General features: G+C 38.3%; 1 protein-coding gene across 1 annotated transcript, besides 1 other annotated feature; it reads left to right on the top strand.

Moving 5' to 3' along the window:
• Positions 1,696-2,895: an enhancer, noted in NCBI's record as "BRD4-independent group 4 enhancer chr11:102825894-102827093 (GRCh37/hg19 assembly coordinates)". NCBI's record gives its function as "activates an origin of replication core promoter dependent on BRD2, P300/CBP, MED14 and CDK7 cofactors, and independent of BRD4, by STARR-seq in HCT116 cells {active_cell/tissue: HCT116}" and the evidence as "EXISTENCE:reporter gene assay evidence [ECO:0000049][PMID:35650434]".
• MMP13 (matrix metallopeptidase 13) lies at positions 2,328-15,065 on the top strand. The gene is made up of 10 exons (NM_002427.4): positions 2,328-2,474; positions 2,567-2,808; positions 3,454-3,602; positions 3,779-3,904; positions 5,887-6,048; positions 7,833-7,950; positions 8,902-9,035; positions 10,010-10,169; positions 12,311-12,414; positions 13,694-15,065. The coding sequence occupies exons 1-10, from the start codon at positions 2,355-2,357 to the stop codon at positions 13,792-13,794; spliced, it is 1,416 nt and encodes a 471-aa protein (NP_002418.1). The 5' UTR covers positions 2,328-2,354; the 3' UTR covers positions 13,795-15,065.

Below are 23,133 nucleotides of genomic sequence, written 5' to 3'. Positions count from 1 at the left end.
CACATCCCTATCACCATCTAAAAACACTTTTCCCTGAACAATATTCTATAAACGAGCAGTCTGATTATTTTCTTAATGAATTAATGTATTTTAATCTTTGGAGGAATTTTTATTTATTTCTACTTAAGAAAACTACAGAACATATAATAATATGTTCTCATTAACCTTTCTGTGTTTTTTCTTTTGCGCTGATTATGTTCTTAAATGGAATGAGAAACTAGTAAAATACTAAAGTTGTTTGATAATAAACTTTATTTTTAAAGTTGAAAAATAGTGGCATGTATTTATTTTCATTTGTTATTAAAAATGTTTTTTTTAATGGGGGAGGTAATATTGTAATGATCCTCAGAAAAAGGCCCTCATTTTAGCCTTCATTTCATTTCCATAGACACTAGCATGGTATCCTATATGGTTGATGCTCAATTAATATATTCATTAAATTGATAGATAAAAAAGCTTCTTTTCTTCTAGTTTGAAGTAGTAACATTTCTACAAATATGTGAAAATCTATAAGAACAGTTAGCCTATTTGATTCTTTTTCTCCACTTTCAAATGTTTAATAAAATGTTATTTGTTTTCCAGCTTCTTAAGCACTTCTTATCTAATGAGATTTTAATATATTATGAAAATTTATTTGTAAAAACAAATGCTTTCTAATAAACTAACTTTTATAAGCTTAGTCGATGAATCAAACTTTTTTGGATAATTTTTCACTTAATCTCAAAATTAAATATTATGATACATGGAAGCAACTTAAAATAAATTATTGCTTTGCATTCCTGATTGAGCACCAATCTAATCTTGAACTCACTGGAAACAATCTATTTGAAAGGGTATATTTGGCTGTATTTTGTTTGGATAAAGGCATATAGTAAATTTCCCTCAAATGATCACATACATGTTGTAGGCTTTTCTGATTTTTCTCTAAGGCACTGGCTACTCTAGATTATAGGATTTTACTCATATGTTAGGATACCCATTTCGTACTCACCCTAAAGCTGTATTCATGCTCCTTCTCTTTGTCTTACTATGTTCCTGACCTGAGCAGCATTTTCTTTCTGACTCTTAGTCACTCAAATTAACCTGCATTTCCAATCATTTATTTAAAGAAGTCCAATAAATCCAAAGATCATGGCCTATATTGCTCTACCCATTTACTTCTGCAGGGGACCAAAGATGGCACTTTGATTTCACGGTACTGAATGTGTGATGTTCTGAAAGGAATAATAGGGTAGAGGCCCCTAGGACTATTTTCCTGATGGTTGGACCAAGATTACTTCTATTATTCAAACTTAAAAATTGAGAAACTTGAAATTGGCCTACTGCAGCCCTAGTTTTCTTGGGCACTCCCTGAGGTGTAGGAACCAAACAGCTCAGCTTTTAAGAAAATATCTGAGAATGGAAAGGGTGGAGGTCATAATTAGACAGGGACGGTGGTCAAGAACATTGAGTTTTGAGTTATTGGCCTAGGTTCAAATCCTGGTATCATTTATAAACTATATGACCGTATACAAGTATTTAACTTCTCAGTGTATCAGATTATTCATATGTAAAATGGAAAACAAGCTTTCTGACAGCACCTATGTGGCTGTTGTAAGGATTAAATGAGATAATGCCTTTTAAACCTAGAATGCAGTAATCCCTGTTTGTGCTAGCCATTACAGTTGTTCCGTTCCAATGTAATTCTTCTACCTCTGTCTGAATCTGTAGGGAATTTATGCAGGACTCCATATTTGTCGAGAGGTCATGCCAGTGTGTTTAAATTCCAACCATGGGGCTCAATCCTGCGGTTGTGCCGTAGCACCTCCAAGTCATCAAGCTTGGTTTTGGTCCAATATCGTGAACTTCAGGTAGACACAAGACATCTCTCTGTAGTTATTCTAGAGAAAATGCAGTTTATAATTTACCAGGCAGTAGTAAACATTCTAGAATCAGTACTAAGTTTCTCTTTATGGAAGTAAACATGCCATCTTGATACACTTATTATTCGAAGAAGCAAAAGTAGATACGTTCTTACAGAAGGCAAAAAAAAAAAAATTTTGCTAAGTGAAGTAAAAAATGTACTACTCTCTGCTTCTTCCCACAGTATCCATAAATATGCTGAGGCCGTTTATTTTGCCAGATGGGTTTTGAGACCCTGCTGAAACAAGAGATGCTCTCATTTATATTTCCCTCAAATTCTACCACAAACCACACTCGGGAGGGAAAAGAAAAAGTCGCCACGTAAGCATGTTTACCTTCAAGTGACTGGGAAGTGGAAACCTATCCATAAGTGATGACTCACCATTGCAGGCCTATAAAAGTAAAGGTAATCTCTGCGGAAAGACAACAGTCCCCAGGCATCACCATTCAAGATGCATCCAGGGGTCCTGGCTGCCTTCCTCTTCTTGAGCTGGACTCATTGTCGGGCCCTGCCCCTTCCCAGTGGTGGTGATGAAGATGATTTGTCTGAGGAAGACCTCCAGTTTGCAGAGGTAGAGTATCTTGCCAATCCTGATGATGCGGTTGGTACATCTCAGAAATGTCCTTCTCTTTTAAACGCAGTTCATTTTGGTGTCTTTTCTAGCGCTACCTGAGATCATACTACCATCCTACAAATCTCGCGGGAATCCTGAAGGAGAATGCAGCAAGCTCCATGACTGAGAGGCTCCGAGAAATGCAGTCTTTCTTCGGCTTAGAGGTGACTGGCAAACTTGACGATAACACCTTAGATGTCATGAAAAAGCCAAGATGCGGGGTTCCTGATGTGGGTGAATACAATGTTTTCCCTCGAACTCTTAAATGGTCCAAAATGAATTTAACCTACAGGTAAATCATAGGCTATCTTTCTTTCATATTTGTTAGCCTTTTCTTGTAGTATTAAATGTCTAATATTAAGTAGGCCTTATTATTTAATTGGCAGTTAAATTCCAGAATAGCTTTAATATGGTTGCCGAGAATACCTCATAACATCTATTATTGTTACATTAACTCAGCATTATTTTTTAGTGGGCATCTCAAAGTATTTCTTTTAGAGATGAAATCAAAAGAGAAATAAAAGTAGGTTAAAGAAAATTTGCAAACATAGTACATTAGGTGTATTTATTACAACAGTGCTCAAGATGAAGAGTTCCACTCTTTCTAGAAACTTTACAGAGCTATTTCATTTATTTGAGCTTTATCAATGTAATCTAAACTTTTAGCATGCAAAATAAATTATATTAAACATTGGAATATTTTAAATTTAAGATGCCACATGGTCAGATATTTGGAGATACTCAAATGTGGCTGAATTTTTGACTTTTTATTCTTGTATGGCATCATAATTAATACATTATTTGAAACAATAAACCTCTAGTAGAACTTTCAAAGAAATTATTGCATTTTGAATTGAAAAGCAATATACCAAGAAAATGTATTCTAAAATAGCTGTCACTTTCCAAAAAGTTCATTGAAACTTTCTCTGTTAAATAGAATTGTGAATTACACCCCTGATATGACTCATTCTGAAGTCGAAAAGGCATTCAAAAAAGCCTTCAAAGTTTGGTCCGATGTAACTCCTCTGAATTTTACCAGACTTCACGATGGCATTGCTGACATCATGATCTCTTTTGGAATTAAGGGTAATGATGCACATTTATTTTACAAACATTTTTATATTCTAATTCTTGGTTCCATTTTAAAATTATTTATTTCAGTCATTCATTACTTTTTAAAGAATTCAACACTAATTTACCAAACACCTGTGCTAAGTACTCCTGGATGTGATAAGACTCCTAACCCTTGCTTTTGTGTGTAGAGCATGGCGACTTCTACCCATTTGATGGGCCCTCTGGCCTGCTGGCTCATGCTTTTCCTCCTGGGCCAAATTATGGAGGAGATGCCCATTTTGATGATGATGAAACCTGGACAAGTAGTTCCAAAGGTAATGTTTCTTATAAAGATATCATTTATGTGTTATTAGATTAGACAGTGAACACACTAGTATGAAGTTAAAACACATAAAAGTTAAATATATTTGGTATTTGACTATATTTTCTTAAATAAAGTTTATCTTAGATGTATTAGTGTCTCTACAAGTGACATTTCTACAAATTGATATCAACATTAAAAAATGAACAAAATCTACTTAATCTGTCACTGTGGCTTGAGGGATACTAATGAACTTTGAAGTAGGACCAAAATGTTTATGTCTGTCAGCCAACATGTTATTACTGCAAATTACCTTTTGGCATGTTGAGGAAGTACAGTTTATTAGAAATATCTAACTAAAAACTACCAGGGCTGGATCTATGGGTCATACATGAATTAGATGTGAATTGAAATAGTTTTTTGCTTGGTAGAAATATGTTCAATCAAATTTCTGTTTCCCATTATATGAGTTGCTTGATTCAGTCTTGTCTATATATTGTAAACACTATTCTTAAAAACCTAGACAGACTCTTACTCCAAACAGCATGAAACAGACAAGATGATGGTTGTATTTACAAGAGCAAAATGAAACTGAATGTTGAATGAGATCAGTTAGTAGTTAAATCTTCAAGTCTCAAAATAATTGGGAATGTTAACTTAGGAAGAAAAGCCATAGATTGTTCTAACTAGGACTTAGTTATGACAAGTAGATGTTGTCTTCATAGACAGCTGAGTTTTATTTTTCATTTAAATAAAAAAGATTATTTCTCCAAAGAATAAAACTGGGCCTTACATGATCAGTGTCTCAAATCTAATACCTCCAATCTGTCTATGGAGGGAAAAGTGAAAATTTACATATTTATGTTCTGGGTATTTCACAGGTAAGAATGGTTTCAGGAAGAAGAAATAATATCCAGCATTGTTAAGGTAGAATCACAGTAAGCCTCAAATTTAGGTTCCTTTATAAATTCTGGGTTTGAAATATTTAATTGAAGTGAATAAAAACATCCACAAACAAGTCTGGATTCATTTTTCAGTGGAAGGCCAAGAGGGGTATCCATTACTAGTCATTCAGTGAAGAATTAGTTAACACTCAGATTATGTGACCTCTAATTGCTCTCATGGTCTGCAAGGTTTGCTAGGATGGTTCATTTTCTTCATGCACAGGCTACAATAGCAGAGGGTATTTAAGGTCAAATGGAATCCACTGGCTCTAGTTTTCAGGTAATCTAAGCACAGGTAACAACAATCCTATTGCCTTGCACTTCTTATTTTTCTTTTAGTTTTTTATTTTCTTTTTTCCAGTTTGAAATACCTGCATTAGGAGGCTCAAAATTGGCAGACAGAATGCTTAGAGGGAACAATGTAAATACAGTGACATAGTAGTCTTCTAGAGTAGAGAAAAGATGGCTAATCATGTCTAGAGTTTCTGTTTCTCCAGAACCCAGAGTCTAGAGACATTCTGGAAAAAATCATTTGGTTGGAATTTGCTCCCAAGAGTAAACACAGAGAACCTATTTAGTGCATCCTCCATCCTTGGTACCATCCCTTTGGATGCTGCCTCCTGATTGGAGGATGTTCTGGGCAGCACCCTAGCTAGGTACCACCCTATGTGATTTCCCCACTCCTCGTTTAAGGTAATCTCTGTCCACTTCCCTCACCTGACCTGAGAATACTAAGCGCAAATCAGGAGTTCTAATGTATTCACAGTAAATCCTTATTAATTACTAATTACATGAGAGTAATCTGTTGACATTCTAATTGTGTAGGCAGCTATAATCAAAAGAACACTAAATTATTTATAAGGATTAAATCAATACTTTGAATCTTCCTTCAAGCAACTGAATATTGATTTTAAAAAGTAGGAGACTGAAGAAAGAGAAAAGAAAGTATATAGCCAAGAAAGAAACATACCAGATAGATAAAATGATATTCCTTTCATTACCTGGTCACTGGAATTCCTTTTTTTCTCATTGTTTCTTTGTTTTCTTACAGGCTACAACTTGTTTCTTGTTGCTGCGCATGAGTTCGGCCACTCCTTAGGTCTTGACCACTCCAAGGACCCTGGAGCACTCATGTTTCCTATCTACACCTACACCGGCAAAAGCCACTTTATGCTTCCTGATGACGATGTACAAGGGATCCAGTCTCTCTATGGTAACTCGGTTATAGAAATAGAATATGATCAGTTATAAAAGCAGAAGAAACCCATGCATTTATTTTCTAAATTGCAGTCATGCTGCATAATAATGTTTTGGTACAGTGAAGCGCATGCATGACAAAGGTTTCATAATACTGTAATACAGTATTTTTAATGTACCTTTCTTATATTTAGATACACTTAATACTCACCATTGTGTTACATGTGCCTGCAGTACTCAGAACAGTAATATGCTGGACAGGTTTCTAGCCTAGGAGACATGGGCTGTTCCATATAGCCTATATCTGTAGTAGGTTATATATCTAGGTTTGTGTAAGTACACGCTACAATATTCACCCAATGACAAAATCTCCTAACAACACATTTTTCAGAATGTATCCCTGTTGTTAAGCAACACATGACTCTACTAATTGAATTCACCACTGCCAATGCTGCTTTCTTGGTTTTGTTGTTAAAACCTAGGAAAACATACCCATTTTTTCTTTCCAAATCTAACTACCCACTCAAATAGAAAAGATTTCATTCTCCAAATTTTTGCAGACTATAACTCCTCGTATTTGTACTTTATACATTGCAATGTGCATTTGATATCCTCCAAACACCTCTGCAATAAGAAAGAAAAATATTTTGTTCCCCATTTAACCAATGAAGAAACAAAGCCCTGTAGAGTTTAAGTAGCATACCTATAGTAACAAGGTTGGTGGTGAAAGTGAGATCCTAAGGCTTTTAGAAATTCCAAGTACTCTTTCAACCAGTCCAATCTGGCACAGTAGAAACCTCTCAAGTGGCCTGTGGTAGTTTTTAATCAACATCTACAGTAACCATTGTAAAAAAAAAATTCTTCCTTTTCACTTCCCCCCCCAAGTTTTCAATAATATTTACAAAATTATTAAACTTCAACCCAAGTATTTATTTATAGATGACCTGTTATAGAGTTAAAGCCACAGTACACAGTCATCAGTGTAAACACTTCTAGAGCACATAGCTCAGAAAACTTGCTCATAGCATCCAACCCATTCTTTTACCCTCTAGATTTCAATCTATCACAGTAGCTAGCATAGCCATGGGCATGAACTTGAAGATGGCAAAGGGAATTTGCAAATTTATTTTGCAATTATTATTTCTACATTGTTATGACTCAGGGACTGATGAAAGAACTAATAAAAACTAGACAGAAAGAAAAACAGTGTAGGATTATTATTATTATATACTGCACCCCCATCCTGTCTGCACTCATGGGAGACGGTTGGAAATTTACCAACATGTCGCAAGTCACATAAGTGCTGAAGGCCTGGTTTGTCACAGCTGAGATACAGCTGCACCATGGCAAACTGGTGAAGCAACATTAGCTGATGTTGACAGCTGGTAAAATAGTCAAGAGGAGGAGGCAAGATGAGGGCTTTTGCAGGAAAAATACGCCATCAAAAATGGCTTTAAGGGGAATCTAGTTTTCAAGAGCAATCTGTCAATAGATTGTGCAAGGTGTAGGGAAAATTTCTCAAATTCTGTTGCTTTTTTCCCTCCTTTTTATCATCAACCTCAAGAAACCTAAGTTTATACTTCTAAAGAATCTCGAGAGGTCTTGAAGGATGGAAGTGGAGGGGAGGAAGGAAGTAAGATTACACGGTACTTGCACCATGATGTAGGAGCCCCAGGACCTACAGCTTTTCCTGGAGAAACCCTCTCCCACTGTCCATCAGCAGATCAGCCTGTTGTACTGTGACTCAGGTTATCAGTAATGTCACACTCATAACTTCTCTCTTGCCTTTCACGACTACAGGTCCAGGAGATGAAGACCCCAACCCTAAACATCCAAAAACGCCAGACAAATGTGACCCTTCCTTATCCCTTGATGCCATTACCAGTCTCCGAGGAGAAACAATGATCTTTAAAGACAGGTACTCTTGAGATTCTTTCATAAAGTCTGTATGCGACAAACATCTGTGAAGCTGCTTCTGCATATTGCCAAAACATCCTGTCAGACTTCCAAAGGCGAAGTTAGCAGTAAAAATGGGCAGGCAGTTTATTTACATATTTCAGATCAAATAAATGACTGATGGATAAATGTTTTACTTTTCAACGTATAACCTTGACATTGTGTAGCTTCCTTTTACATCTCTAGTTACAGTCTTTCTTATAAATATAACCAAGAAAATCTAGAAATCCCATTTGTTTTAAAAACAGACAAGCATTGAAAGTAACTGCTGTATTAATAAATGGTTACTCGTTAGGCCCACACGGATTCGTTTTGGTATGGAAAGACTTTGATTCTAGATACATGTTGGAATTTGAGGGATGAAATGAAATGAACCCAGAAATGCAATATAAAATTTTAATTTCTACACTGTTCCAGTATGCTTGTTTATTCATTCATTCATTGATCCCTCATCTGTGATCCAATAGCATGTTTATCCCCTCTGTTATAACTCTAATTACATTGTACTCGTGGGGCGGGGGGTGTTTCTCATGTATGTTTTCCCAGGCCATGAGACCATGGAAGACATAGTTCATATAACTCATATCTTCTCTCTGGAGGCCAACACAATGCCTGGCACATTTGCTTGCCCCTGGCAAGATACCCAAAATTGAGCAAGACTGTTTCAACCTGCAAAGAACTCAGAGACCTCACACAGGCTCTGTGAGATTTCAAAGTTGAATACCTTACGCTAGTTAGGATAGCACAACTTGTCACTGGCGCTTAAAGGGTAATGGAATTTTTTTTCCCTTCACAGGTGGGAGGTATTGGTTGTATCTAACTTGTCTGTGTTGATGTGGAGAGAGGTGACTAGCAGGATAGAAATATTGCATTTAAAAATGTGACAGAAAACTCCATTTTACTTTTGTGTTAGATTCTTCTGGCGCCTGCATCCTCAGCAGGTTGATGCGGAGCTGTTTTTAACGAAATCATTTTGGCCAGAACTTCCCAACCGTATTGATGCTGCATATGAGCACCCTTCTCATGACCTCATCTTCATCTTCAGAGGTAAGCTTTCCACAGAGGAGTCCTCACACAAGACCAGGGGAGGCAGTGCTGAATTTGATGCCACTAGAGATTCAGTAAAATGATCACTACTGAAAATATACCTAAATTAAAGACCAAGTATTAAAAAAATGGAAGCCAGAAAGTACCTGAAACCATTCTACCATGAATCTCCAAATTGAACATATAAAAGGTCTACATTATTAGTCTTGTCATATCCACTCTTTCTTTCATATGAATCATGTCAGTTTTTTCTCTTAGTTCTGCTTAAAAATTGTTTATTGAGAAAACATTATACCAATATATTCTGAAAAAGTGGAAAAAATATTATGAATCATTCTTCCTTCTGAAAACTCAGTTTATTTCATTTGCTCATTTTCATTATGTAATACAAATTTTTACATATTTATTTTCATAGTATAGATACATTTTTATATTCTACTGCTTTCCTTGACATAAAATTATGACCAATTTCCAAATTGCTACTTTATCTTTATGACCATAATTTAAAATGATTACATAACTTCCTGCTGACACTGTTTGTATTGTTCAACTATTTATAATATTAATGTTATAATAAAGCTACTTTTTAGAGAATAAAATAACTTTCAAACTGGTGTAACGTTTGAGTTTTCAGTCTAATTTACTCTTCCTACTGTGTTGTTTGTTCATGTACAAATTTTAATGTATTTTTTCCACCTAGCTTTAAACTTAATATTCAGAGCTAATAAATTGCCAAGTTAACTGTGATATTTGATTAGCTATATTCATAATTGGGAAGTTAAGATCCTAAATTTTATTTTTTTGTTTCAAGAATGCTTATATTTTTATGTTTCATAAACATGATGACTGTAAATACTAAATATTTTATTAATATTTCTCAATGTAAAAGTGGGCCTGTCTTTAAGCACATGTCTATATATGTAAGTCCTAATAGATTCCCTTGGATAATAGAACTGTTATTTCACTCATTCCAGGTAGAAAATTTTGGGCTCTTAATGGTTATGACATTCTGGAAGGTTATCCCAAAAAAATATCTGAACTGGGTCTTCCAAAAGAAGTTAAGAAGATAAGTGCAGCTGTTCACTTTGAGGATACAGGCAAGACTCTCCTGTTCTCAGGAAACCAGGTCTGGAGGTATGGCAGCAGTAGGTACTGACCCATCTGTGTCATAGCCGCAAAGTGCCTCAAACATCTGTCACTACTATACATTATTCCTACACACTATTGTAAATGTCATACTAGTCATTCATTTTCATTCCATGTCAGCTCTTTCAGGCAGACCCTCAGACATGTATTTAAAAGTCTCAAGCTCTCTTGAACACACACACACACACACACACACACACACACACACACAATACTCAAACATTCCTCTTCTCAAACATTCTTTTCTTAGCCATTTGTTGTGCCTCTCAACCATCTTTGGCACCCCCTCTTTCTTTCTTTTTTTTTGAGACTGAGTCTTGCTCTGTTATCCAGGCTTGAGTGTAGTGGCATGATCTTGGCTCACTGTAACCTCTGCCTCCTGTATTGAAGCAATTCTCATGTCTTGTGTCTCAGTCTCCCAAGAAGCTGGGATTACAGGCATGTGCCACTACACCCAACTAATTTTTGTATTTTTAGTAGAGACGGGGTTTTGCCACACTGGTCAGGCTCCTGGCTTCCAGCAATCCACCTGCCTCAGCCTCCCAAAATGGTGGAATTACAGTCGTGAGCCACCACACCCAATTGGCACCTTCTCTTTCTAATCTTTCTCCTGTATTCTCTTTCTTGTCACTTTCTCCTAATTTACATGTAGCTCCATCTTCCGTGGCCAAAGAGGATACCAGCATGAGTACAGGAAAAGATTGGTTTAGAGAAGGCCCTCCTATCTGCAGAGTTAGCTGATCCACTGGAGAGGTTGACCAGGAAGCTGACAGGCCCATAGTTTATAAAGTGAAACTTTCTGAAGGGCGAGTGAAGCTGGAATGTTTAAAACACATGTAAAGATTTAGGCAGCATTGACATCAACAACATTTAAGAGTCCAGATTCAAGTCTATATTTGGGAATGGGAATATCTCATCAGTACCCTACATTCTAAATGTTTAAAGTGGAAACTTTCCTCCATCTCTACATACACACAGTCTCACACACACACATGCATACCCGCACACACGCACATACCTGTATATATCATCTTTGCCTTTTGACTTATTTCTGACAATGACATTTACAACATTCTAGAAATCACTGCCAGCTTCTACCAGGTACCGCATTTCATTCCCTACCTCCATAAGAAGTATATTGTTCAGTCAGGATTAATTGCTTACTGCATCTCAGATATGCTGTTTTTTATATCCCCTTAAGCTTCTCTTAGGCAATTTTTTTTTGCCAGAAGATCCTTCCCTGCATCTCTCCCTCTTGAAATTCTATCCATTGTTTAAAGTTCATTCGAAATATCTTTTCATCTACAAAGCCTCTTTTGATTTCCCCATTCAGGGGTTATTGCCCGGCTTCCTGTACTCCCATGACATTTCATGATTACTCTCTCATGCTTGACTTCTATTGCCTGGCGTTGCAGTTATGTGTATACACATGCCTTAGCTTTATTGGTAGTTTAGTGGTTCTTATCTTTTACTTGTTGGAACATACCTCCAAGATATTCAAAAAGCTCTCATCAGTAACAGTAGTGGCACCTTATGGGAGCCTGTTTTCCTAGGTTAATTTTAGGATATGTTTGCCTGGTTAGGGTGTGGCTGTGGGCAGGGGAGAAGGAGCTTGAAATATGCAGTTATGGAGGGGGAAAGCTATGCTTCCCTTCCTACCTTTAGTATTACCATATGCCCCTACAACTTTTTAGTACAGAAATTAAACCTTAAATATTTTTGTAGCCATTACTGTACACTAAGTAAGTGCAAGTAAGTGCAAGTTGTCTTACACATAGTGAGAGATCAACAGCTAATTGTTCTATGCACAAACATGCATTTATTTCATGCTTAAGAACATGTTCCTAATGACATACTTTTATAACAGATATATCATTTGTGAAATGGAAATGAGCTTGTAACTCTCTTTAAAAAGATGGCCTTTGGGCAAGTCAACAAATACTCGTCAAGCATCCACTGTACACTCAGTATTCTCATTCCTAATTTTAAAAAGCTACCAGATGCTTTAAATGGACTGAAAATTTTAAAATTCTTGTCAATTTTGAAAGATGCCATTGTATCTATTGTATTATTTCTAAGGTACTTTCTAAGAAATATAACTGACTTAGGAGTTTTTTTTCTTTAAATAGATATGATGATACTAACCATATTATGGATAAAGACTATCCGAGACTAATAGAAGAAGACTTCCCAGGAATTGGTGATAAAGTAGATGCTGTCTATGAGAAAAATGGTAAGTAGTTACATTGCACTGACTTTAAAGAGGAGCTTCTGTAGCCCCTCAAAACTCTTTTCTGTACAAAGCATTTTTATATAGGACCTAGATGTGTTAATAAATGTATGGCAGTTAAGGAATTAATTGTTCCTGTGTGACTACCTACAAAGACAGCAAACCAAAAAAAACATGGTTAGAATAAATAAGAATTTTACTTAATGATTGCTAATTCTATAAATACGAGATGCTAAACCTTCAACATTACCTTAATCTATGCTTAAAGATGCCAAAATGCAAGGATATTGCCAGAATTCAAACTGGCTGTGGAGTGGGAAGTAATTTATATATAAAGACTCATAACTACCTTAACTATATAGTGACTTTTTACTTTAATTATGTTCTCAACCTTTTTTTTTTTTTTTGACAGAGTCTCACTCTGTCACCCAGGCTGGAGTTCATTGTCGCAATCTGAGCTCGCTGCAACCTCCGCCTCCTGGGTTCAAGAGATTCTCCTGCCTCAGCCTCTGGAGTAGCTGGGATTACAGGTGCCTGCCACCATGCCTGGCTGATTTTTGCATTTTTAGTAGAGATGGAGTTTCGCCATGTTGGCTAGGCTGGTCTTGAACTCCTGGCCTCAAGCGATTCACCCGCCTCGGCCTCCCAAAGTGCTCAGATTACAGGCCTGACCTCACCGACCTCCTTTAACTATGAAAAGAGATATTATTGATAACTTATAACAAATAGGCTGGGTGCGGTGGCTCATGCCTGCAATCTGAGCACTTTGGGAAGCTGAGGTGGGCGGATCACTTGAGGTCAGGAGTTCAAGACCAGCCTGACCAACATGGCGAAACCCCATCTCTACTAAAAATCCAAAAAAAAAAAAAAAAAAAAAGCTGGGAGTGGTGGCATGCACCTGTAATCCCAGCTAGTCAGGAGGCTGAGGCAGGAGAATCACTTGAACTTAGGAGTCAGAGGTTGCAGTGAGCCAAGATCACTGCCACTGCACTCTAGCCTGGATGACAGAGTGAGACTCTGTCTCATATACGCACACAAAAATCGATAATCCAAGTAGCAAAACTGTGTAGGAGGATTCACACCTTAAAAGAACAACTAAAAAATAAAAATAAAAAAATAAAAAATTTAAAAAGGAACAACTATTAAAGAACTAATAGAGTTTAAAAAGAAAAAGTTTGAAATTCCTACAAATGGGATCTAAGAGATTGAACCATTAATATTAACTGGATTAAAACCTTATTATTTTCAAACTCTGAAATTGTCTTTATGCTTTTTCTTATAGGTTATATCTATTTTTTCAACGGACCCATACAGTTTGAATACAGCATCTGGAGTAACCGTATTGTTCGCGTCATGCCAGCAAATTCCATTTTGTGGTGTTAAGTGTCTTTTTAAAAATTGTTATTTAAATCCTGAAGAGCATTTGGGGTAATACTTCCAGAAGTGCGGGGTAGGGGAAGAAGAGCTATCAGGAGAAAGCTTGGTTCTGTGAACAAGCTTCAGTAAGTTATCTTTGAATATGTAGTATCTATATGACTATGCGTGGCTGGAACCACATTGAAGAATGTTAGAGTAATGAAATGGAGGATCTCTAAAGAGCATCTGATTCTTGTTGCTGTACAAAAGCAATGGTTGATGATACTTCCCACACCACAAATGGGACACATGGTCTGTCAATGAGAGCATAATTTAAAAATATATTTATAAGGAAATTTTACAAGGGCATAAAGTAAATACATGCATATAATGAATAAATCATTCTTACTAAAAAGTATAAAATAGTATGAAAATGGAAATTTGGGAGAGCCATACATAAAAGAAATAAACCAAAGGAAAATGTCTGTAATAATAGACTGTAACTTCCAAATAAATAATTTTCATTTTGCACTGAGGATATTCAGATGTATGTGCCCTTCTTCACACAGACACTAACGAAATATCAAAGTCATTAAAGACAGGAGACAAAAGAGCAGTGGTAAGAATAGTAGATGTGGCCTTTGAATTCTGTTTAATTTTCACTTTTGGCAATGACTCAAAGTCTGCTCTCATATAAGACAAATATTCCTTTGCATATTATAAAGGATAAAGAAGGATGATGTCTTTTTATTAAAATATTTCAGGTTCTTCAGAAGTCACACATTACAAAGTTAAAATTGTTATCAAAATAGTCTAAGGCCATGGCATCCCTTTTTCATAAATTATTTGATTATTTAAGACTAAAAGTTGCATTTTAACCCTATTTTACCTAGCTAATTATTTAATTGTCCAGTTTGTCTTGGATATATAGGCTATTTTCTAAAGACTTGTATAGCATGAAATAAAATATATCTTATAAAGTGGAAGTATGTATATTAAAAAAGAGACATCCAAATTTTTTTTTAAAGCAGTCTACTAGATTGTGATCCCTTGAGATATGGAAGGATGCCTTTTTTTCTCTGCATTTAAAAAAATCCCCCAGCACTTCCCACAGTGCCTATTGATACTTGGGGAGGGTGCTTGGCACTTATTGAATATATGATCGGCCATCAAGGGAAGAACTATTGTGCTCAGAGACACTGTTGATAAAAACTCAGGCAAAGAAAATGAAATGCATATTTGCAAAGTGTATTAGGAAGTGTTTATGTTGTTTATAATAAAAATATATTTTCAACAGACAATTGCTATATGGTACATTGTCTTTAGGTATAATTTCAATCTTTCCTCACCCAAAGAGGGTTCATTGCCAATATTTTTATTTTTGGAGACAGAGTCTCTCTCAGTTGCCCAGGCTTGAATGCAGTGGTGTGATTCCAGCTCACTGCAACCTCCACTTCCCGAGTTCAGGCAATTCTCCTGCCTCAGCCTCCCAAGTAGCTGGGATTACAGGTGAGCGCCACCATGCCCGGCTAGTTTTTGTATTTTTAATAGAGATGGGGTTTCACCATATTGGCCAGGTAGTCTTGAATTCCTGATCTCAGGTGATCTGCCTGCCTCAGCTTCCCAAAGTCCTGGGATTACAGGTGTGGGCCACTGCACTGGACCCTTCTTTTTTTTTCTTTTTAAGAAAAGATGTTTAGGCCAGGTTCAGTGGCTCATGTTTGCACTCCCAGCACTTTGGGAGACCAATTGTTTGGGCCCAGGATTTCAAGATCAGCCTGGGCACCATGGTGAAACACAGTCTCTACAAAAACAAAACAAAACAAAACAAAAAAAAAACAAATTAGCTGGGGGTGGTGGTATGTGCCTGTAGTCTCAGCTACTAGGGAGGCTAAGGTGGGAGGACTACACGAGGCAGGGAGAGGTCAAGGCTGCAGTGAAATGTGATCACACCACTGCACTCCAGCCTGGGTGACAGAGCAAGACCTAGTCGAAGAAGAAGGAGAAGGAGAAGAAGCCAGGTCCCAGCTACTCAGTAGGCTGAGGCAAGAGGATCACCTGAGCCCAGGAGGTTGAGGCTGCAGTTAGCTATGCTTACACCACTGCACTCCATCCTGGGTGATAGAGTGAGACCCCGTCTCAAAAAATAAACAAACAAAAATAGAAAAGATGTTTCACTTGATTTCAGAAACATTTTCCCTATGTTTAACCATTTTCTTTCATGATACTTCTCTCTCATGGATAGACAGACAGACAGACAGATATACATAAAGATATATAGATATAAAGATATACATAAAGGTATATAGAAAATATATATAGTCAAGATTGTTTCCTGACTTCCACCTTTACTCCAGTCTCAATTCAAAATTCCAAATCCAATTGGTGTTACCTTGATGAGTGTCCTTCCACAGTAACCAAAGCATCGAATTCAAATTATAGCAAATGTCTATTTGGAGTTTACCACTGGTGATAGGGGTAGCATTAAAGAGAGCTGATTATGAACTGAGCAGATGGTCCTAATAGAATCTTCTATGAAATAGGTTACAGGTAAAATACAGATAGCCAGTTTGTATAGATATTCACGAATGGGGTTGAGAAGACCAAATGAATGTTTTATGAGAAGTAATATTATATTCACAAATTAAAGTGAGAGTGCATTTACCTAGAGCTAATGTACTAGGCAAATGCACTGCCTTAAAATTGAATTGTAGCTAGTAATGGCCTCTTCATCAGATAATAAGGGTAAAAGGTTTGAAAAACTCCTCAAAGTGAACCAATAGCATACTTGTATTTGGAATAGGAGAAACTGACAAGATCTTATATTGGTGTAACAAATTTTGCTCTTGGAATTATCCTGGGAGAACTTTTGTATTAAAGCAAAAATATTGTCCTGGATTTCCATATCCTCATGTCAGAATAAAAACACGAAAACATATATAACAGAAAGATAGCCACCATAAAAGCTACCAAGTTTAACTCACTTCCCGTTTAGAAAAAAAAGTGCAGCTCTCTGCACGCACAGTTTTCTCGGAGCCAACAGGAGTGGATTAAGCCCTGGTCACAGAAAATACCTTGATTTACGGATTCATCACGACGCTGTGAGATTTACAATACTTCCACTAGGTGGCACCAGCAACACCCTTTTTAAAAAGGTTGAACTGGTCAGAGAATTCAATTAAGTCACAAAACCAGTGCTTTGTTCTTTAACATAAGGTTGAGGAACTTAGCCACATCGCTGATTGTTTAACTCCTGACTTTACATTACTGACTTTCAAGTAAGATTTAATAGCTATGGAATTCAAGAACAGCTTGCTCCAGGTTTCTTAGTTTTTGTATATGAGTTCCCCTCACTGATCTCTCAGAGGTGAGTCGGAATTCTGTGTCATCCTGACTTGGTGGCTTGATGAAGCCACCAAGACCTGAAGCATGCACCCCTTAGAGCTAGGGCTTGTGAGTCATCTCAGGCCCCTGGGTGACAGACTCCAACGTGAACTACAAAATGCACAATCTACACAACCAATAGAATCAGCACTCCAAAGAGAAAACAAACCAGCACTGTTCTGGCACCAAGAGGGAGGAAAACCCAAACTACCAGGCATGATAAATTTTGTTTTCTAAATAAAAAAGTGGGCCGGGCACGGTGGCTCACGCGTGTAATCCCAGCACTTCTGGAGGCTGAGACAGGTGGATCACCTGAGGTCAGGAGTTGGAGACCAGCCTGACCAACATGGTGAAACCCCGTCTCTACTAAAAATACAAAAATTAGCCAGGCGTGGTGGCGGGCACCTGTAATCCCAGCTACTTGGGAGGCTGAGGCAGGAGAATCGCTTGAATCCGGGAGGTTGAGATTACCAACCAAAAAAGTGAACAATTGCTTATTACCTGAGGACAATGGCGAGTTTAGAGGAAGAAAGGCTTTACAGTTTCCGAAGTTTCTTTCTCACATGGTTTAGTTTTTCTAATTTTTTGGACTTTTATCTGCCTGGTATATTGAAGTATGCGAAATGCTGATTTAAGACTCCTTGATTTTGTTCTACCTCACTGCTTACAAGACACTCAGATTGAACTGCAGCTAATAATGATCTCTGGAAAATAAAAAATGTGCTGAGTTTATAGCAACAGCATGGCCATTTTTGTAAGAGTTTATCATGATGTCTTAATTGACCTGAATTGCCAAAACTGCCAGAGGTGTGTGAACCAGAGCAACTCCATCTTAAATAGGAGCTGGGTAAAACAACGCTGAAATCTACTGGGCTGCATTCCCAGACCGTTAAGGTCTTCTACGTCACAGGATGAGATAGGAGGTCGGCACAAAATACAGGTCATAAAGACCTTGCTGATAAAACAGATTGCAGTAAAGGAGCTGGCTAAAACCCACCAAAACCAAAATGGCGATGAGAGTGACCTCTGGTCATCCTCACTGCTACACTCCCACCAGCGCCGTGACAGTTTACAAATGCCATGGCAACATCAGGAAGTTACCCTATGTGGTCTAAAAAGGGGAGGCATGAATAATCCACCCCTTGTTTAGCATATCAGCAAGAAATAACCATATAAATGGGCAACCAGAAGCCCTTGGGACTGCTCTATGGAGTAGCCATTCTTTTATTCCTTTACTTTCTTAATAAACTTGCTTTTACTTTGCACTGCAGACTCACCCTGAATTCTTTCTTGCGTGAGATCCAAGGACCCTCTCTTGGGGTCTGGATCGGGACCCCTTTCCTGTAACAAAACTATACCCTAAAATTAGGTTCTGTGAGAAGGAAAATTTCTCTTTCATACATGAGCCCGAATAGGTAAAATTCTATTGCATAAATGCTATCTGAGTTGTACACACATGGAGAAACACATACAAGTATATGCAAAATTCATTGTAACCCACTCTAGAATTACTCATTCAATAACGTCATCACACATCAACTGGGCAAGGAACAATTGTACGTACACGATATTGAGAGAATTCTGTCTCTTAAATTTTGATTGCAATGAAACTGGACTTACTATCCAAATCCACCTGTTATGCCTTACAGTTTTTTATAAGTGAAGATAGTGACACTCTTTTTTCATAATTTATGCAGGATTAAAGGACATTGCACAAGCATCCTTATCTGTGTTCCATCTTTTGTGCTTATCTGTGTCCCATCTCTTGCGCCAAAAATATGTAAAATTAGCAACTAAAAAGGTTTATTTATTTTTTGTTTACTTGTTTTAAAATGGTTACATATACCAATAGCCTTCCTTTTCTGGACAATCTTCTCTTTCCTTTATTAGACTGGGCACTAAAAGCCTGTACAGGTCACAAGCAAAACCATTCATGAGGCCCTTCCAATTCTATCTAAAAAGGAGTGTTGTATTCTGGAGTTAAGAGCATCTGCCTTTCTGGGTTGTATCCTTTGGCCAGCTCGTGCCTCGGCTCAGTGAGTGCTCAGGGCCTTGTGGATTTGCTTCCAAAACAACGCAAGGAAAAAGAAGTCTGAGTTGTGTTTCTGAGCACATGGGGTACAATGTGTACACTAGTGCTGGCTCAGTTTTTGGCCAACTCTAGTTCTGAGTATTGTGAGCTGAGCAGAGGGCTGGGACACAGCATCAACTGTGCCTCCAGCCACATCCTTTTCTGAACCCATTTATAAGGCTTTATCCCTTAATAAATAAGATATCTCCTAAATACTTGCATTCCTAATTTCATAGGAAACATCTAAATTGTTTTATGGTTTGAATAACAGCAAGATAAGATACAGGTTAAGGAAGCAGAATCTCAAGGAAGTGAAATAATGGGCAATATTTTGCAGTCATCGTAATGGAAGTCAGATACTTGGCAACAAAAATTACCCAGGCATTATGTGGGATTAACTGGAATATGAATTAAGGGCTCAGAGCTATTTTATGAGAAATGCACTGTACACTCTGTATATGAAATATGCTTCTACTTGGTATTTACTTTTAAAACATTTCCTGAAATCTTTCAATGGGGCAGCTTTGGGGACTAGAGAAATATGGCAATATTGTGTGTCCTGTGTTTACATAAGATACAAAAATTTAGAGAAACGTATTAGATCATCTGATTTCAATTCCTTCAGTTTACAAATAAAAATCTGGGGCCAAGAGAGAGGAAATGATCCTTTCAAGAGCATACAATAATGCTGAAGACTAGGCCACAAACATCATCCACTTTTCTCCTTCTATCTTGTTAACTCCTCTACTCTCTTCCACAGGCCAGGGCACAGATTGTCTATCAGGGGGCATGAAATGTAATTCTACTGGAATGATACCACTAGCCTGATGGCATCCATGTCCCAGAGTCAAGGGAAGCTGAGCTGATGTCTCTATATTATCTTGGATGCTCAGCCTTTGCTGACCATCTTCTCCCCACTGCTGAGGCTGCTTGACCATGACTGACCTTAGTCAAAAGAGATTGAGGGAGTTGAAACTCAGGTGTCTGCAGCTCAATGAAAAATCCTTGCCAGAACAACTTTGACTTTGTATCTAGTTTTGAAAACTGGGTTTCTGTGTTTTCCCCAAGACTGAGTCCCCACTTTTGCTACAGCATAGAAAACTGGATCTCTCCATTATCCTCTATGCCAGAGTCTCGGCTTTTTATTTTTATTTTATTTTTAACTCTTATCTTAGATTCAAGGGTACATGTGCAGGTTTGTTGTATAGGTAAACTTGTCTCACGGGGGTTTGTTCAGATTATTTAGTCACCTGGGTACTAAGCTTAGTACCCAACAGTTACCTTTTCTGATCCTCTCCCTCCTCCCACCCTCCTCCCTCAAGTAGGCCCCAGTGTCTGTTGTTCCCCTTTTTGTGTCCGTGTGTTCTCATCATTTAGCTCCCACTTATAAGGAGAACATATGGTATTTGTTTTTTGGTTCCTGTGTTCGTTCATTTGCTAAGGATAATGGCCTCCAACTCCAACCATATTCCTGCAAAGGACATGAGTTTGTTCTTTTTTATGGCTGCATAGTATTCCACGGTGTATACGTACCACATTTTCTTTATCCAATCTACCACTGCTGGGCATTTAGGTTGATTTCATGTCTTTGCAATAGTGACTGGTGCTGCAATGAACATAATGTGTGCCTTTGTCTTTGTGGTAGAATGATTTATATTCATTTGGGTATATACCCAGTAATGAGATTTTGGGGTCAAACGGTAGTTCTGTTTTTAATTCTCTGAGAATTGCCAAACTGCTTTCCACAATGGTTGAATGAATTCGCACTCCCACCCACAGTGTATAAGTGTTTCCTTTTCTCCACAACCTTGCCAGCATCTGTTATTTTCTGACATTTTGCTGATAGCCATTCTTACTGATGTGAGATGGTATCTCACTGTGGTTTGATTTGCATTTCTCTAATGATTAGTGATATTGAGCTATTTTCATATACTTCTTGCCTGCATACATGTCTTCTTTTCAAAAGTGTTTGTGTTCTTTGCTCACCTTTTAATGGGGTTGTTTGGTTTTTGCTTGTAAATTGGTTTATGTTCCTTATAGATGTGGGATATTAGAGTCTCTGCTTTTTAAATACTCTTTTCCCAGTGGATACTTTTTTTTTACAGACAGGAATCTTGCTATGTTGCCCAGGCTAGAGTGTCATGGCTATTCACAGATGCAATCATTATGCGCTACAGCCTCGAACACCTGGGCTCAAGCAAACCTCCTGCCCTCAGTCTCTTGAGTAGTTGGGACTACAGGCACCTGCTATTGTGCCTACCTTCTTTCCGTTTGGTTGACGTGAGGGGCTCAAGTTCTGGTTCCTGCCAGAGGTTGTGTCCCACTATTTATGGATGAGAGGCTGGCCTCTGCCTTTAGTGAAGACATAAATATTGAGACAAATACATACAACAATCTTACATTTTACACTATTTCACACAGCTTATAGTTTTCCTCTCCCTTTTGCCTTTAGCCATAAAGTTGACTTCTTTCTTCAGAAAGAAAATAGCTGTCAGCCGGGCATGGTGGTTCATGCCTATAATCCCAGACATTTGAAAGGCTGAGGCAGGTGGATTGCCTGCAGGAGTTTGAGACCAGTCTGGCCAACATGGGTTTAGTAGAAACCCTGTCTCTAATAAAAATACAAAAATAAGCTGGGAATGATGGTGGCACCTGTAATCCCAGCTGCTCAGGAGGCTGAGGCAGGAGAATCACTTGAACCAAGGAGGCAGAGGTTGCAGTGAGCTGAGATCATGTCATTGTACTCCAGCCTGGCTGACAAGAGCGAGACTCCATCTCGCTCTTCCCCCACCCCAAAAATAGCTGTCAACTGCAAAGACCTGCACCCCCACTCACATGAGTGCACACCCTATAGCGTTGCTTGAGACATTGTCAGAATAAATGCCAATCCCAACCTTTATTCTTCCAGCTCCCTCACTGTCATCTCCTGCAACAATACATGTTCTTTGACCTCCTCAAGGCCACCTTTACCAGAGTCCAGGTCTGTCCCTGACACTTATGAGGCCCCTCCTCTGGGCTGGTTCTTCTCTTCCGATCCCTGGCTTTGCTCTGCATTGCAAGGGACTTTAGGTGCAAGGGTATGGACATGCCACCTATAGGTCCCTCCACATCTGCTGACCCGGTAGTCCATTGGCCACCACTAGGGGTGTGCACATCATTGAGGGGTTCCACCCTTGGGAGAATGAGCCTGTGGAAGAGGCCCACTGAGGCGTTGGAAGTAGGAAATTCAGGGGACCTGTGGTCTAGAGCAGCCCTGTCTAAGAGAACTATAGCACAAGTCACATGCAGAAGTCTACATTTTCTAGTGACCACATTAAAAGCAGTAAAAAGGAATAGGTAAAATGAACTTAAATGATATATTTTATCTTTTTTTTTTTTTTGAGACAGAGTCTCATTCTGTCACCCAGGCTGGAGTACAGTGGCATGATCTCGGCTCACTGCAACCTCCACCTCCTGGGTTCAAGCGATTCTTCTGCCTCAGCCTCCTGAATAGCTGGGATTACAGGTGTGCACTATCACACCCAGCTAATTTTTGTATTTTTAGTAGAGATGGGGTTTCACCATGTTGGCCAGGCTGGCCTCGAACTCCTGACCTCAGGTGATCCACCTGCCTTGGCCTCCCAAAGTCCCGGGATTACAGGCGTGAGCCACCATGCTCAGCTAATGAAGATTTTTTAAAAAGATGGTTTTACCTCCTGTTTCTCACATAAAGTCTTCAAAATCTGGTGTGTGTTTCATCCTTAACAGCATATCTGAATTCTGACCAGCCACATTTCCAGTGCTCAGTAGCTACCCGTAGCTACAGAAAGGGACAGTATAGGAAATGGGTGGGTACAGGCATCTGAAGGCACATCCCTGAACCTGCAGAGAACTGCAGCCTGGGGAGAGCAAAGCAGGCCCAAATACAGGGT

Source organism: Homo sapiens, chromosome 11 (genome assembly GCF_000001405.40).
Source record: "Homo sapiens chromosome 11, GRCh38.p14 Primary Assembly".
NCBI classification, from domain to species: domain Eukaryota; kingdom Metazoa; phylum Chordata; class Mammalia; order Primates; family Hominidae; genus Homo; species Homo sapiens.
This window is presented reverse-complemented; position numbering and strand designations above follow the sequence as displayed.

What these genes read in the sequence shown, in the direction of transcription:
- MMP13 (NM_002427.4), top strand. Translation starts at nt 2,355, where the DNA reads ATGCATCCAGGGGTCCTGGCTGCCTTCCTCTTCTTGAGCTGGACTCAT. An exon ending in ACAATGATCTTTAAAGACAG is followed by an intron (nt 7,951 to 8,901) that starts GTACTCTTGAGA and finishes CTTTTGTGTTAG; the next exon opens with ATTCTTCTGGCGCCTGCATC. An exon ending in TCAGGAAACCAGGTCTGGAG is followed by an intron (nt 10,170 to 12,310) that starts GTATGGCAGCAG and finishes TTCTTTAAATAG; the next exon opens with ATATGATGATACTAACCATA.